Source organism: Homo sapiens, chromosome 22 (assembly GCF_000001405.40).
Source record: "Homo sapiens chromosome 22, GRCh38.p14 Primary Assembly".
NCBI classification, from domain to species: Eukaryota; Metazoa; Chordata; class Mammalia; order Primates; family Hominidae; genus Homo; species Homo sapiens.
In genome coordinates, this window is record NC_000022.11 from 44,243,325 (window position 1) to 44,259,999 (window position 16,675).

Below are 16,675 nucleotides of genomic sequence, written 5' to 3' on the forward strand. Positions count from 1 at the left end.
GCACCTGGCATGTCACACCAGGGGCCACGGATGGCATGCCATCTGCAGTGATGCCCGCCCCCCCCACCCTCCACGTGCTTTCAGCTCTGTCTTGTTGGGTGCTAGTGCCAGATTCAGGGCTCTGTCACTCCTCTCTGACCTTGCCCCTGCCCCTTTGGAGGTGGCGTCCACCTGCCATTGGCATTGAGTGTTCAGGATGGACTCGTGTGTCCAGCTCCCCCTAACACCACGTTGGCTGGGACCCCAGCCCCTGGTCCTCCACCCGCCCCAAAAGAGTGACAAATTATGCGGGCACAGGTTCCCTTGAGCTCATTTTGAAACACTGAAGCAAACGTCAATCTAGGGAACAGTTGACATGACACTCCTTTATTAAAACCTAGGGACATTGTTATAAAAACTACTGTATATAAAGACAAAAGCAGAGCAACAGCGGTCAGTGAAAAACACATGATTATTCTTACATTCTAGTATTATTATTAGGAATATTATTGGTTTTGGTTTTCCCGGTTATCAGCTCTCAGGGAGACCCCATGCCTGCTCACATGAAGTCAGAGTTTACGGGAGAGAAAATATTTCCATCCCCCTACCCCTGCGCTGCATGCCCTTGTCCAGCTGGCCCTGGGGACGACACATCAGCCTTTTGTGGGAGGTCTCCTGCCTTGTTAAGGTGACTGAGCCCCTCACCCTTGCAGCCCCCACCTCGTTACTGCACATTGTCGAGACACTGACCACTTGGTTATTTGACTGTGAGGTATGCCACTAGCTTTAAAACGGGAAATGGGAAAAATAGGAAGAAACTGCGTATGAGAAACTGACATGCAATTCCAAGAAGAGGCTCTCTCTTGGGCCACCAGCTTGGTTCCAGCTGTGGCCAGGGTGGCCATATCATCTATAGTTTTAGATCCTGTGCTCAGGGTTGGCGCTGACCAATGTGGGATCCTGCACATTTTGGAGGCTGGTTTAGGGTCATTCAACAGGGTACCTCATTGTACAAACCTAAGGGTCACCGTTCTCAGTGCAGTCTATGTAAACAGTATCCCTGGGAGCCCATTACCATTTATGGGACAGTGTCGTGAATGGTGCCTCCTGGAGGTGAACCCTGCAGCAGCCCCGGATTTCAGTCTGTCAAGGGCAAATCTGTCAGGGCTTTGATGTAAAGATAGGAGTTTTAGGTACAGAGTAACTAACAGTCAAATCTGCTCATTCATCAAGCATCTATCTAGCACCAGCTGTTGGCTTGGACTAGAAACTGGGGTGGTGGGGGGCAATGACACCTCCAAGGTCACTTTCACGGGTGGGACAGGTAAGTGTTCTGAATTCATTTTGTGAATCTGAGCATGTCTGTTAGGCACAACTAGCCGTTTCACAAGTGGTCCCAGCTATAGCAGGAATGGCTCCCAGATGGGCCCTGGGTACAGGGCCAGGCAAGTGGCAGGCACTCGGCAAGTATCTGAATAGGTGAGGGAAGCGCGTGTCATCGAATGAGTTTTCTAGGAGGCTCCTCACCTCTTCTAGCTTGCCTGACTGCTTAACTTTAACATTTGAGCTTTTCGGGCCACAACCACCAAAGTTGTTTGCGTGCATTTAAGCACCAGCGTGGGACGTGTTGGTGCTACAGCAAGGAACTAGGGCACTGTGCATGGCATCTGGCACATAGTAAGTGCGCAGGCTTGTCTTCCAGAGGGCACAGGGTATGGCCCCAGCCCAGTGAGGTATTCCTGGACTGCAAAGGGCAGTGATCAGGGCGTCATCCACTCATGGCCTCTCTGACTGTCCCAGTGCTGTGGGGGCCAAGCAGACACCCTCTGATGCCCACCACGTGAGCAGGATGATTAAGAATTCCTGCAGTTTGCTTCCATGATTCCAACCCTAGATTTTCACAGCAGACGAAAACAACCCACGTGGATGTCTCCCTACAGTGATAGGGGGCCCTTCAACATTGATAAGACATGTTCCCAATAACTCCATCCAGGTCTGTTCTTCCTTCCTTCCTTCTTACCTACCTACCTAGACAGAGTCTCACTCTGTTGCCCAGGCTGGAGTGCACTGGTGCGATCTCAGCTCACTGCAAGCTCTGCCTTCTGGGTTCATGTTATGTTAATTTCAAACATGGGAGAAATCTGTAAATTCACTTCCGAAGGCTTTTCCTGTTGATGGGGACCAGTTCAGCCAAGTTGAAAAATTAAAAAATTTTACAAGTCTGCACCCCCGGGGACCCCGTCTCCTTGAATGGCACAGTCTCTAATAGACAGACATGGTGATTGTGAAAGCAGCCGAGCCAGCGGAGGGGCCTGCCTGGGGATGGCAGCTGGAATCCTGAGCCAACCTGGACAGCGGCCTGTGGGGGAGTCAGTGCCAAGCACAGCCACACCCACAGCCCTGGTCTGTTTGCCATGACCTGAAGAGAGCTTTTGGGTTGACGGTGAACTGGAAACCATCTCCTGGCCAAAGAAGCCTGTTAACCCCTAGCCCTGTCATGTTTTCCCTGACATTCCCAAGTCCTCCTCTTCAGCTCTGGGCCAAAATTTGACTGAATCTTTCTGATGATGAGGGGAGATGCCACTCACCCTGGGAACACTGTCAGCTGCCTACTTGCTGCTTTCTAGAGCATTGGAGACAGCAAGAGGGACCAGATCTACCTGTGAAATCACCTGTGTGTGTGCGCGCATGTGCATGTATGTACTTGTGTGTTTTTTCAATTAAGGCCTGTTGCACATCAGCAATGGTCATGGTCAGGTGGCTGGCCTGGCCGCTGGAGCAGCCAGGTGAGGCGGGTGAGAAGGCTGCTTCTCTAGGTGCAGGGCACGTTCAGAGGCTAACTTGAGGGCAGCGAGCCAGCAGGCATTACCAGCTATTGGTTCTGAATAGAGATTCTGAAACACACAACAATCACACCGTACACAGACGAGAGGGAAAGCATAAAACTGCTCATTAATTACACACAGTTCCCAGTGGGAAACAGTCCTTACAAACGCGGTAGTTCTGCAAACAGCCTCGAATGCAGATTCCTCTGTGGACATCTTGTCCTCTTCTCTCTCTCGTTTTTCTTTTTGTATTATTATTATTACAAATTACATGGTGATGGACAGAAGCTCACAGTAAAAAGTAAAAGTAGGCAGCTTAAAAAATCAGGTTGAGTTGCTAAAAAACAGTAACTCTAGCTATGCTTGAACTCGTCACTACCCTGCATCCATCTTGTTCTCAGGGACAGTCTACTCCTTGAGGGACCTTCCAGCCACAACCACAGCAGGATGGGGACAGTGTTTATCACAATGACCTGGGGACCCATGGCATTTTGAGGAGCCCTTGACACCATTGGGGGATTGAATACACACACACCTGCTTTCCACACTGAGTGTTCACACCCACATGCACACTGTTCTCACCTGTCGGCTCCTCTGTGAGACAGCAAGTACCGTGACTAACTGGTACCCTACCTCACACACTTGACAGGTGAGAAGCAGAGGCTCTGAGAGGTTAAGTGGCTCGTGGGGGTGACCTGCAGGAAGGAGGATGCCGTGGCTGTCTGCACCAGGTGTGCTGGGTCTTGGTGATCTCTGCTGAGGCCTCCTGCTTGCCACAGAATGTTCCAGTCCTCAGCCCAGCTGCCCAAGAGGGACTTGGCAGAGCAGCAGGACCACAAACCCCATGGGTTTTTCAGTTATTCCTGAAAAGACCTCTTGCGGGGAGGGGGGCAGGCAGGAGGAATGTCCTCCTAGAAGGTTGTACATCTCAAGGGATGCTTAGGTGAACCCCAGTTCTAGCTGTCTATTTGGCAGTGACCTTTGACCCCAGGTGTCCAGGAGAGGGAGGCAAGGCCACCAGTTCCTTTTTGGCAGAGGAAGCACCTACAGAGCATTGTCCAGGACAGCAGGACACGAGGGTTGCAAACTCCTTAAATACCCATCTGACTCCTTCCTCTTACCGATGGGGAAACTGAGGTAACAGACCTTGCCTGAGGTCACGCTGTTCTCAGTGGCAGAGCTGATGTCAGAATCTGGGTCTTGGGCCCCCACCTCAAGGCTTCCTCTGCCTTCTGAGGCACTGCACGTGGGACACAGCTGTGGCTTCCGCAGCTGGGCTAGTGGACAGGCTGTGCACCCCCTTACGGCAACATGGCCCTGGGACGGCTCACATCAGGGGAGAGGAAGCCATTCCTTTCTCCAATCGAGACCCCAAGCAGAGGTTCTCCCACTTTGCCAAGCCATATGCCTGGACACTGGCAGCACTGCCTGGAGGAGACAGCTGGACCCAAAGACTGAAGCCAGGGGCCTGGGTCTTCCACAGCTGACCTGTGTGATCCTGGGCAAGCCACTTGACCCAGCTGAGTCTGTCTTCTTGTCCATAAAATGGGGAGAGCCCCTTCTTCATGGGGCTGTTGAGAGGATGGACAGCCAGGCAGAATGGAGGATGCTTTATACCCTAGCAAGTTTGTTCTGCTTTTCCAAAGGCAGGACATTGTGTTTGCACAGCTTGACTCACAGCAGAGCCCAGAGCTGGGCACTATCACCCTCATCTCCTTCTGCCTTCCCTCTGGGTCCCCAGCCACCTGGCTTTCTTGTGCCACCTGGCTTTCTTGTGCTTCCTTGAAACCACCAAGCCTGTGGCTGCCGCAGGATCTTTGCACTAGCCGTTCCTTCTGCCTGGAATGCTCTTTTCCTATCTTTAACGCCCATTACTGGCTCCTGTGTGTCATTCAAATCTGGGCTTCAATCATCTGCTCAAGGCGGCCTTCCCAGACCACCCCAGGTCCACAAGGGTCTCACTCACGTGTCCCTCGAACTGAGTTCCTGGCACTGAGTTCCCGGCAGAGCACTCACTGCCTTCGCCACCTTCCTTCTTCACTGTCTTCCTGCCCCAGCTAGAAAGCTAGCACAGTGAGCAGGGACCTGCCTTGCTCACTGTCGTGTCTGGTGAATGGATGGGTGGTCAGTGTGAGAACACTAGGTCTGATGAAATGAGGAAACTGCGTCAGAGGACACACACATTGATCAAGCAGGGCCTCCCGAGCTAAGAGCTGGGGGAGATTTGGTATCACTAACACCCATGGAATGAGTGTGTCTACACTGGCAGCATGGCCTTTGGAGATGTTTGTGATGATTTAGGTGATGCCATCTCATAGGTGTCCCAGGGCAGCGGGGCAGGAGTGGGGGTGATTAGCTCGGTGGGTGGATGTTACGGGCATGGAAGTCCTACTTGAAAGTGGATGGATTTCTAGAACGCTCCTGCCTGGGTTTCCATGGCCTTGTTACCCTTTCCAGCAAAGATCCACGTGTCTGTGTCTCCCACCAGATGGGAGGCTCCCCGGGGGCAGAGATGAGATCTAACTCATCTTTCATTCCCATCACTGCCCAGCACGGGGCCTGGCACACAGCAGATGCTTAGCCAGAATGTGCTGAGTGGATCAGCGCTCCAGGCGGTGATGGTGGAGGCATCAAGGAGATGCTCCCAGCATTGTGCAGGGTGTACCCCGGCTGGCGAGCATGTCACGTCCAGGGAGTTGGAGCCTGGACTTTGGGTTCCGGCACCGCTTCCCCACTGTGAGTTTTTCTGCAGGGGGTTAATCATACCTGCCTCCCAGGTGGTGAGAGAGGGAGTGCATGAAAACACTTAACTTGGCACCTGCCCTGTGGTCAGCCTGAGATGCAGCCCTTAGTATTACTATTGTTACAGGAACGAATTCTGTAAGAAACAACCCTGACTGGCATTTTCAAATCCCCAGTGCTCCCCGAGACACAGAGGGGCCGTACCCTGTGCTTAGCAATAAGCTTGCGGCTCGGACATTGACACGGATGAGAACCCCCAGCCGGAGGGTGACTCATGCCCATCAGAGAACTTGAGGGGGGAAGCCCCAATAAAAACCAACCAACCAAGCAAACAAAAAGAACACCCCAAATCACACACACGCACACACACACGCACATTCAATATTCTGACACAAATAGCCCCAAGGGGCCACTACTGGAGGGAGCAGGGGCAAGGGAAGCTTCGGTTTTCAACCACAGGTATAACTCACAGGCCTCAATCCTCCTGGCTGGAATCAGCCAGAGTTGCTTTGTCTTGGTCATCCTGAGTCCACAATGAGTCACCTCTCAGAAGCCACCAGCCCAAAATAGGACTATTGCTTGCGGACAGGTGGCTCAGAATCCCCTCCCCTGCACCCCCAGCCCCTACCCCTGAGTTTGCTCCTAATCTTAGAAGTCCGCGGAAGGGGGCTTTGGGCACAGGCAGCATTTCCTCCTGTGCCACCGCCGCTACCTCGGCTGTCCCTGGCATCTCTGTAGAAGTTGTTCTTCTCGGAGGCTGCACCGGGTGCTTCAGATCTCATCTCCCCCATCCTGAGGCACAGCAAAAGCGTTTTCTGGAGGAAATACAAGGAAAAAAAGTATCACATGGTGTCTCCTCCATGGGGACATTTCTCTCTGGCCTCAGTGCCGGAAGAAGCCAGGTTTTCTCTGAGCATGTGGGTTTTGTCTTCTGAACATTGCGAACCATGTGACTTTAAGACTGGAAGAAAGAAAAAAAATGTCTGCTATCATTATAGCTCCATATAGTACTAGAGCTCTGGCCCATGCAATAAGACAAGAAAAATAAGCATAGAATAGGACTGGAATAGAAGAACCAAAATTACAGTTAATTGTGGATAACTTACATAGAAAATTTAACAGAATCAACAGGTTAATTAGTAGAATGGAGAGTGCAGACATAGACGTATAATAGTCAACCTATAAGACATCAGATCAATTTATAAAATGCAACAGTGTGCACTGACCTCAGCAATTACTAGGGTAATTATATGTCATGGCTTGGGACAGTCTCAGTTAACACTTGTTCTGACATAATTTTTAATGTTGTTCCCCTTTTATCCTCAAAAGTATTCTGATTTGGCTGATAAATTATATGGTCACCATTGCCATAACAAACTAAATATTAAACACAGATACAGATACCATTCATATTGACAAAAACCATTATGTATTTTGGAATGGCACTAATATATGACCATGTCATACAAAGCTATAAAGAAGAGACCAAGGTGCTCCTGGAATAGGGAAAAGCCAGGAGACCAGTGGAACAAGATCTACAGTGTGGAAACAGATCTGCGGGGCACTTACTTATAGCTTTGATTGGCAGAGTCAAGTTGCAAACAAGACAATGAGGAAAAGAAATACAGACTCCATCTGTGGAAAGCAGCATGAACCCCACTGCCCTGTGTCTATTATAAGAGCAATTGCCCAGTCACAAATACTTACCTTCCCCGACTCCCTTGCAAGCAGGGGTGGTCACATGACCCAGTCTGGCTAACGCTGTGTAAGTGGGAGTCTATTGGGAAGGGGACATGAATCCAGGGGGAAATGAACTATCTTGCATGCATGAGAATGAAAGACGCTCACTAACACAGGTGGAGTAGAAAGCAGGCAGAAACTTGGTTCTGGTGGCAGCCCTGAACTACCCCCTTCATACCATTGCAGTTGAATTTCTTTTACTTGCGTAAATTGCATCTGGTGAGTGTTCTTAAATGATAAACCATCTTCAACTAAATGGAGAAGTCAAGGGAGTGGCTCCGACCAAGCCAGCAAAGCCCACCTCCCCAGAGTGAGTGATACGCCAAGAGGCAGAACCTACTCTCCACCCTTTGCATTAGTGGGAATGTGTACAGGGGCTAAGGGTGAGAGATTCTGTGGGGCCATCTCCTCTGCTTCATAGAACTAAGCCAGGTCCAGGTACTCTCCATCACCCACTTTGTTTTTCTCCATAGCACACACCTCCATCCAGCATACCACCTATTGTACTTACTTGAATAGTTTATTGTTTGTCTTCCCCAAATAGAAAGTTAGCTAAAAGAGGGTTAAGGTGATTGTGTGTTTTACACATCGCTGCATTGCCAGGGCCTAGAACAGTAACTGGCATACTGTAGGGGCTTAATAAATATTTGTCAAATGAATGAATAAACCAAGAATTTAAAGCCCAATGAACCATCTGTCAAGAATAAAGTCAACAGAAAAACATGTTGAACAGATTTTTGAATTAAAGTTCCCATGACCCCTTCTTAAAAAAATTATTAAGGATACGCTTAGGCAAATCAAGAATGATTCAGAAAGGTTTACTATAAAAGGATGGGCAGATGATTTTTTAAAAGTTCTGTGGATGGATGGCAGTGATGGCTGCTGTATTAGTCCATTTTCACGCTGCTAATAGACATACCCAAGGCTGGGCAACTTACAAAAGAGGTTTAATTGGACTTACAGTTCCACATGTCTGGGGAGGCCTCACAATCATGGCAAAAGGCAAGGAGGAGCAAGTCACATCTTATGTGGATGGTGGCAGGCAAAGAGAGCGAGCAAGCTTGTGCAGGAAAATTCCCATTTGTAAAGCCATCAGATTCGGTGAGATTCATTCACCATGAGAACAGCATGGGAAAGACCTGCCCCCATGATTCAATTACCTCCCACCAGGTTCCTCCCATGCCACATGGAAATTGTGGGAGTTACAATTCAAGATGAGATTTGGGTGGGGACACAGCCAAACCATATCAGTTGCCTTACAGTGAGAAGGTACTTATTGCCCCTGAACCGTATACTTAAAAATGGTTAAAATGGTAAATGTTATGTTATGCGCACTTTACCACAATTCATAAAAAGGATGAGCAGAAGCATAACAAATGCAATGAAGAGAAATTATAAATGGAGCCCTGCCAAGAGTGCCAGCAATGAGCGTAGAATTTGTGTAACTGTAGGACTATTGCAGCCAATCTAAAGATTATGACCATCACAGAGAAGAATGAAACAAAACAGAGAACTGGCATAAATAATAAAAAGTTGGAGGGGTGGAGATGAGAAGCAGGGAGGTGATATAAGTAAACTATGACATATTCATGTATAGTTGGGGGTCTAAAGAATTGCTTAGAAGTTTAAAATTAGAGGCATCAAGGTAAACAAAAAATATAGTCAACTAAAATAACTTGATAGCAGGGAGACAAGAGGAGGGGAAGTAGAAATATTCTAATTTTGATACTTTTCACAGTAGGGAGAAAATAAATGTTGTCTAGAGAAATAAAAGGATTAAAGATATCATGTCATGTTATAATTATGAAGATAACCATGGGATCAAAAACGCAGCTTTCCAAATTATCTAGAAGACATACACACAGAAAATAAAACAAAGACAACAGAGACCATATGGTAAAAATTGACAACCCCCACAAAACTATAAAAGCAGAAAGCCTATCAAACAATGATGACAGAACTAAGACCAAATGCATCTGCCATATCAGTAAATGTTAATGAGCCATACACACTTGCTTAAAAAAAAAAAAAAAAGACTGATCACAAACAAAGGCACTGAAGGTAGAATGATTCAGCAAGGTTTCATAGAAAAGGATGGGCAGGGCCGGGCGTGGTGGCTCACACCTGTAATCTCAGCACTCTGGGAGGCTGAGGCAGGTAGATCACGAGGTCAGGAGTTCAAGACCAGCCTGACCAACATGATGAAATCCCGTCTCTACTAAAAATACAAAAAAATTATCCGGGCGTGGTGGTGGGTGCCTGCAGTCCCAGCTACTCAAGAGGCTGAGGCAAGAGAATCGCTCAAACCCCGGGAGGCAGAGGTTGCAGTGAGCCGAGATCACGCCACTGCACTCCAGCCTGGGTGACAGAGTGAGACTCCATCTTAAAAAAAATAAAAAAAATAAAAAAAAAGGGCAGATGATTTTTACAAAGTTCTACAGAGGGATGATGGTGATGGTTGCACTATAGTGAGAAGTACTTAATACCCCTGAACTGTATACTTTAAAAATGGTTAAAATGATAAACGTTATGTGCATTTTACCATAATTTTTAAAAAGGATGAACAGAAGCATAACAAACAAATGCAAATGAAGATAAATCAGGGGTCATAATCTTAATATCAGAAAAAGCTGAAGTCAGGGCAAAAAATACTGAATGAGAAAAAAGAAGGGCACTGTGTGAGGGTGAAGGATGAGAGTCACCATGAAGATCTAACAGTAATGAATGTTCATGTACCAAATAGCATAGCCTCAATATTCATAGAGCAAGACTGGAAATTTAGGGAGAAAAAGCAGAGTATGCTAGTATTAGTGCATGTTTTTTTTTTTTTTTTTTTTTGAGACAGTGTCACTCTGTCGCCCAGGCTGGAGTGCAATGGTATGATCTCAGCTCACTGCAACCTCCATCTCTTGGGTTCAAGCGTTTCTCCTGCCTCAGCCTCCTGAGTAGCTGGGATAACAGGTGCTCAACCACCATGTCTGGCTAATTTTTTTTTTTTTTTTTGTATTTTTGGTAGAAATGAGATTTCACCATGTTGGCCAGTCTGGTCTTGAACTCCTGACCACATGTGATCTGCCCACCTCGGCCTCCCAAAGGCCTGGGATTACAGGCATGAGCCACCATGCCCGGCCTAGTGCATTTCAATTCACCTTTCTCAATCCATTCCATATGCAGTTGGCAAAAACTAAAGTAAGGATATACGGAGCCAAATAATCTAACAACTGTGTGTGTGTGTGTGTGTGTGTAAAACACAGTCTACCTTCATTCTATTCAAATGCTCTTGAAAGTGCATACACCAAAAGTGACTATCAGGCCACAAAGAAAGTAAATTCCAAAAAACAGAAATAAGACAACATTCTCTAATCACAATATACTAGAATTTGAAAATACTAATAATGAAACCACAGACCAAACCAAACTTTGCCACCAAGAGGTCTATAAACACTTAGATAACCTTGAGTTAGAGCAAAAAATAAAAACTGCAGAATATCTAGACAATAACAAAATATATATTTAAGGACCTGTGGGATGCAGCCGAGCCAATGCTAAGAGGAACATACATAGCCTTAAAACACTGATCTTATTAATAAATGAGAAAGAATGAATTGCCCAACTCAAAAAGTTAGAAAAGAAAGACAAAATAAACCTAAGAAAGACATACAGTAGCAATAAGTAAATGAAAACAGAAATGGAGTTAACAGCAAAAGAAAGGAACTCATAAATAACTCCATGTTCTTTTTTTAATGTTTAAATTATTATTTTTTTTTAGAGACAGGCTCTTGCTCTGTCACTCTAGCTGGAGTGCAATGGTGCAATCATAGTTCACTGCAACCTCAAACTCCTGGGCTAAAGTGATTCCCCTGCCCTAGCCTCCTGTGTAGCTAAGACTACAGGTGTGCACCACCACACCTAGCTAATTAAAAAAAATTTTTGCAGGGATGGGGTCTTGCTGTGTTGCCCAGGCTGATCTTGATCTCCTGGCCTCAAGCAATCCTCCTGCCTTGGCCTCCCAAAATGCTGGAATTACAGGCATTAGCCACCATAACTGGCCCCAACTACTTGTTCTTTGAAACACAATGAGACATGTTCACTGCTGAGGAATCTAATGAAGCAGGAGATATAATATGTAGAAGGTGGAGGTGACAGCTTGGGAGGAATCTAATGAAGCAGGAGATATAATATGTAGAAGGTGGAGGTGACAGCTTGGAATGATTCTCTGCACTTTTGCTCTCCAGTTTCACTTCTCACCATCACTTAGCCCCTTCCCAACAGGCTTTTCTTCCAACTTCCCTGCAGAATTTGCCCTTGTCAGGGTCACCAAAGACCTCTCTGTTAATAAACCCAGTGGTCAATTCTCAGTCCCCCTTTCACTCATCCTCCCAGCAGCACTGACTCAAGTGATCACCTGCTTCCAGGACACTGCAGTCCCCTCTCCTGATCCTCCTCCTCCTCCCACCGCTCCTGCTCCAGCCCTTTGCTGGTCTGCCCACATCTTCCTGACCTTCTCTTCTCCACAATTTCTACTCACTCATGGATCTCTCCTTCCAAGAATCTAAACACTGTATGTTGATATATATATATTTTTTTTGAGATGGAGTCGGAGTTTCACTCTGTTGCCCAGGCTGGAGATATGTTGATGACTTTTGACCCTCAAACTCTCACCTAAACTCCATTCTGATGGCCAACGTGTCTACTCGATGTCACCAAATGGATATTTAATAGATACCTCAAACTTAATATACCCCAAACCAAAATCCCAACCTTCCTCCTCCACCTAGCTTTTCCCACAATTTTCCTGACCTCAGGAAATACAACTCCATCCTGCCAGTTGCTCTCCTCAGAGGCCTGGAGTCATCTTTGACCCCTCTTCTTCCTTTCATACCCCATATCCAACTCAGGAGCAAATCCCGTTGGACCTTCCTTCAGAATCTCAATAAGCCTTACACTTCCCTGCTGCCTCCACTGCTCCTACTGTGGTCCAGGCTGGCAGGATTCTTGCAGTGGTGTCTGCGCTGGTCAGCGCTGGTCAGCCCCTTCCATCTGCTCTCAACACAGCAGCCAGAGGAGCCCTGAGAAAACCTAAGTCCAATTACATCACCCCTTTCCTCAAAACTCTCAGTGGCTCCCAGATTCACTCAGAGCAGAAGCTAAAGCCCTTCCCACCCCATCACCTCCCTGTCCTATTCCTCACTCTTTTCATTTTCATTCTCTCCACTCCAATGGTAATGGTTTGTTTTGTATCAACCTGACTGGGCCACAGGGTGCCCTGATATTTGGTGAGACATTTTTCTGGGTGTGTCATGAAGGTGTTTCATGATGAGATGAACATGTGACCTAGCAGATGGAGGAAAACTGTGTCCTCCCCTGTGCAGGTGGCTTCATCCAACCCGCTGGAGGCCTAAACAGAACCAACAAGTAAGGGGGAATTCATGCTATCTCTGCCTGCCTTTAAGTGGGGACATTGTTCTTCTCCTGCCTTTAGACTCAGGCTGGGACGAATTCACACCATTGGCTCTCCTGGGTCTCAGGCCCTTGACTCATAGTGGAACTCACACCATCGGCTCTCCTGGGTCTCAGGACTGGAACTCACACCATCAGCTCTCCTGGGTCTCAGGCCCTCGACTCACACCATCAGCTCTCCTGGGTCTCAGGCTCTCGACTCAAAGTGGAACTCACACCATTGGCTCTCCTGGGTCTCAGGCCCTCGACTCACACTGGAACTCACACCATTGGCTCCCCTGGGTCTCCAGCTTGCTAACCCAGACCTTTGGAATTCCTCAACCTGCATAGCTGCAGGAGCCAACTCCCTACAGTGTGTGCCTTCATGTGTGTCTATATGCGACTGGTTCTGTTTCTCTGGAACACATTGACTAATACACCATCCATACCAGCATGTTCCTGTCTCTTCTCCCAGATAAACCCAAGGCTGAATCCCTGATCTCCTTTAAGTCACCTTTTTAGTGATCCCTTTGGCCACCTGTTTAAAATTATCCTCTATCTCAAACGCATTATCACCATCTGACAGTCCACATATTTAACATATACATTTTAAAAATTGTCTGCAGTCTCCATAAAAGCAGGCTTGTTGCTGCTTTTGGCCCATGACTGTATCCCCAGGGCCAATAACGATGCCTGGCACAGGGTCTACACTCAATTAAGATGAACTGAACAAACAGAAGAACAAAAGCGACTGCCTGCTCAACTCTACAGAAATCAGGAAGCCTCCAAGAAATGGATCAATTTCCAAGAAAAGAGAAATTACCCAAAGGATCTGGGAAGGTAGAATCTAAACAGACCAATTGCCAAGAAGAGAAAGAGAAACTGTCAAATAGCAAATCCAAAGTCTAAAATAAGAGAAATGCAAATTAAAGCCACAATGAGAGAGGATTTCAGAGCGCAGACAAAAGGGAGCATCTGCATTCCTTCACTTGCCACCCTGACACAGATCAAAAAGGCTGAGCGCCCGACGCGTGTGCTGGTTTGGGTTTCTGCTTCACTGCTAGTTGGGGAGATGCTGGGGTCATTTCTGTGGAAGGCAATTTGACACATGCCTATGGTACAGATGCCCACATCCTCTGACCCAGTGGTCTCACGTAACGATTATCCTACAGACATGCTCACAAGGGCAACATAGGTACAAGCACATTAATCACAGAAAGGTGGTTAACAGCAGAAGATTCGGATCACTGAAGTGTCTATCAGCAGGATGCCAGGTCAAAAACAACAGCTCCCACACAATGGAGAGTCACACAGAGACCAATCAGGCTCAGACAGCTGTCCTCAGCCACCTCCCATACCGTGCTTTCCTTCCCTGGGCATTGGTCATTGAGATTCGAAATTCATGATTTGTGGCATTAATGCCACTTACACATTGAGCCCTCTGCCCTGAACTTTAGTCTTGAATTTCCACCTTCCTCCCCTGGGCAATTTCTGTACTTTCCACTCAATTTTTCTGTAAACCTAAAACTGCTTTAAAAAAATAAAATCTATTCATTACCTAGATAACAAAATTTGTAAGACAGTGAGATGTCACTTTAAAGCCATCAAATCAGCCAAACTTAGATCAGATGATTTGAAAGGTAAGTGAACACCTGTGAAAGGGACTCGCCACCGTGCTCAGCAGACGATCCAGCAACCTCTCTCTGCATGCACTTCCCGAAGAAGCTCTGGAGCTGGTCTTCAGGGGCAACCCATCACCTTCCTAGGGAACTGCATTAGCGTGAGCTGCTTCTTTTTAAAAAACTTTTAAGGCCAGGCACGGTGGCTCACGCCTGTAATCCCAGCACTTTGGGAGGCCGAGGTGGGCGGATCACCAGGTCAGGAGTTCGAAACCAGCCTGACCAACATGGTGAAATCCCATCTCTACTAAAAATACAAAAATAAGCTGGGCATGGTGGCACACACCTGTAATCACAGCTACTCGGGAGGCTGAGGCAGGAGAATTGCTTGAACCCAGGAGGCGGAGGTTGCGGTGAGCTGAGATCATGCCATTGCACTCCAGCCTGGGCAACAAGAATGAAACTCCGTCTCTAAATAAATACAAAAATTAGCCAGGTGTGGTGATGGGCACCTGTAGTCCCAGCTACTTGGGAGGCTGAGGCAGGAGAATCACTCGAATCCAGTGGGGTAGAGATTGCAGTGAGCCAAGATCGCACCACTGCACTCCAGCCTGGGTGGCAGAGCGAGACTCTGTCTCAAAAACAAACAAACTTTTAAGTTCAGGGGTAAATATGCAGGACGTGCAGGTTTGTGACACAGCTAAACGTGTGTCATGGGGGTTTGTTGTACAGGTTATTTCATCACCTAGACATGAAGCCTAGTACCCATTAGTTATTTTTCCTGGTCCTCTCCCTTCTCCCACCTTCCGGCCTCCAGTGGGCCCTAGTGTGTATCGTTCCCCTCTATGTATCCATGTGTTCTCATCATTTAGCCCCCACTTATAAGTGAGAGCATGTGGTATTGGGTTTTCTGTTCCTGTGTTAGTTTGCTAAGGATAATGGCCTCCAGCTCCATCCATGTCCCTGCAAAGAACATGATCTTGTTCTTTTTTATGGCTGCGTTGTAGTCCATGGTGTATACATAGGCTTCCATACAGTTCTCAGAAGTGAGGGTGCAAGAGCCCCTATGGCAAATGCAGAGGTCTTGCACATATAATGTTGGGTCAAAGGTAAGAAATACTATACATGAAAAGTGAAAACACTTCCATGTTCCCAGCATTGTGCATAATTTGAGCATCACACTCAATTAACATGTAAGAGTGGGGTGGATGGAGTAGGCGTGGAGGGTTGGGGGGTCAGGGGGCAGGTACAGTAAGGGGCCCATCACAGCCACTGATGTGGGAGCTATGGACCAGAAGGTGTGACCAGCTCAACATTCTGGACCCAAGGGTTGGAAACCAGAATGAAGCCTGGCTGACTCGACCATGAGGCTGAAAACCTGAGAACATCACACAAGGCTCGTGAAAAAGGGAAGTGCATCCTCACCCGCCCTGCTATGTTCTTAGGTGGAAATTTGCAACAGGGTGGCCACATGGTAGAAACGGCCAGAAGCGGGCCAGGTGCGGTGGCTCATGCCTGTAATCCCAGCACTTTGGGAGGCCGAGGCGGGCGGATCACGAGGTCAGGAGTTTGAGACCAGCTCAAACATGGTGAAACCCCGTCTACTAAAAATACAAAAAATTAGCTGGGTGCAGTGGCACACACCTGTAATCCCAGCTACTCAGGAGGCTGAGGCAGGAGAATCACTTAAACCTGGGAGGCGGAGGTTGCAGTGAGCCGATATCGCGCCACTGCACTCCAGCTCGGGCGACAGTGCAAGACTCTGTCTAAAAATAGAATAGAATAAAAATAAAATAAAAATTATTAAAAAAAAAAAAAGAAACAGCCAAAGCCCAGGGGAGCTGGGAAACAGCAGGATGGGGGCTGCTTCCTGGGTGGAGCCCTCGGTTGCACAAATGGGTTCCGAGAAGCACTTCCTGCCCCTGGGCTTGTGCATGGCATGGCTGCATGTGGGGATGGGCAGACATTCTCACATGCCAAGGGGAGCTGAGAAGGAAAAGGACTTTGGGTTGCATTAATAGAAGTATATGCGCCAGAATAGAGGAGATGACCCAAGGTTCTGCTGATCTTTGTGGTGGCTGGACCACAATGTCAGAATTTCAGCTTAGGGGGGCTTGCAATCGAGCGTCCAATTTTCCTAGAACTTATCTTTACCTTTCTTCTTTTTCCCTGTGTGTTCACCTCTTAGCTCTTCAGGAGTGCAATTATAACGTTTACCTCCTCTCCACCAGGCGCTCCCTGCACTGCAAGCATATCTAACTACAGGTCGATTTGTTTAGAAATTCTCAGGACAAAATGTTGAACCAAACCAGGCACCCTCTGGGATTCTCC

At 47.5% G+C, this 16,675-nt stretch overlaps 1 protein-coding gene across 2 annotated transcripts in view; it reads right to left on the reverse strand.

Annotated features, from left to right (window-relative positions):
• Positions 1–340: 340 nt before the first annotated feature.
• The window catches only part of SHISAL1 (shisa like 1), an 88,050-nt gene continuing 71,715 nt past the window's right edge, over positions 341–16,675 (reverse strand). For both annotated transcript variants that reach the window (XM_005261790.4, NM_001099294.2), the window contains exon 5: positions 341–6,361. In XM_005261790.4, coding sequence (XP_005261847.1) covers position 6,361 — 1 coding nt within the window. In that variant the 3' untranslated portion in view covers positions 341–6,360. The remainder of the gene's footprint in view (positions 6,362–16,675) is intronic.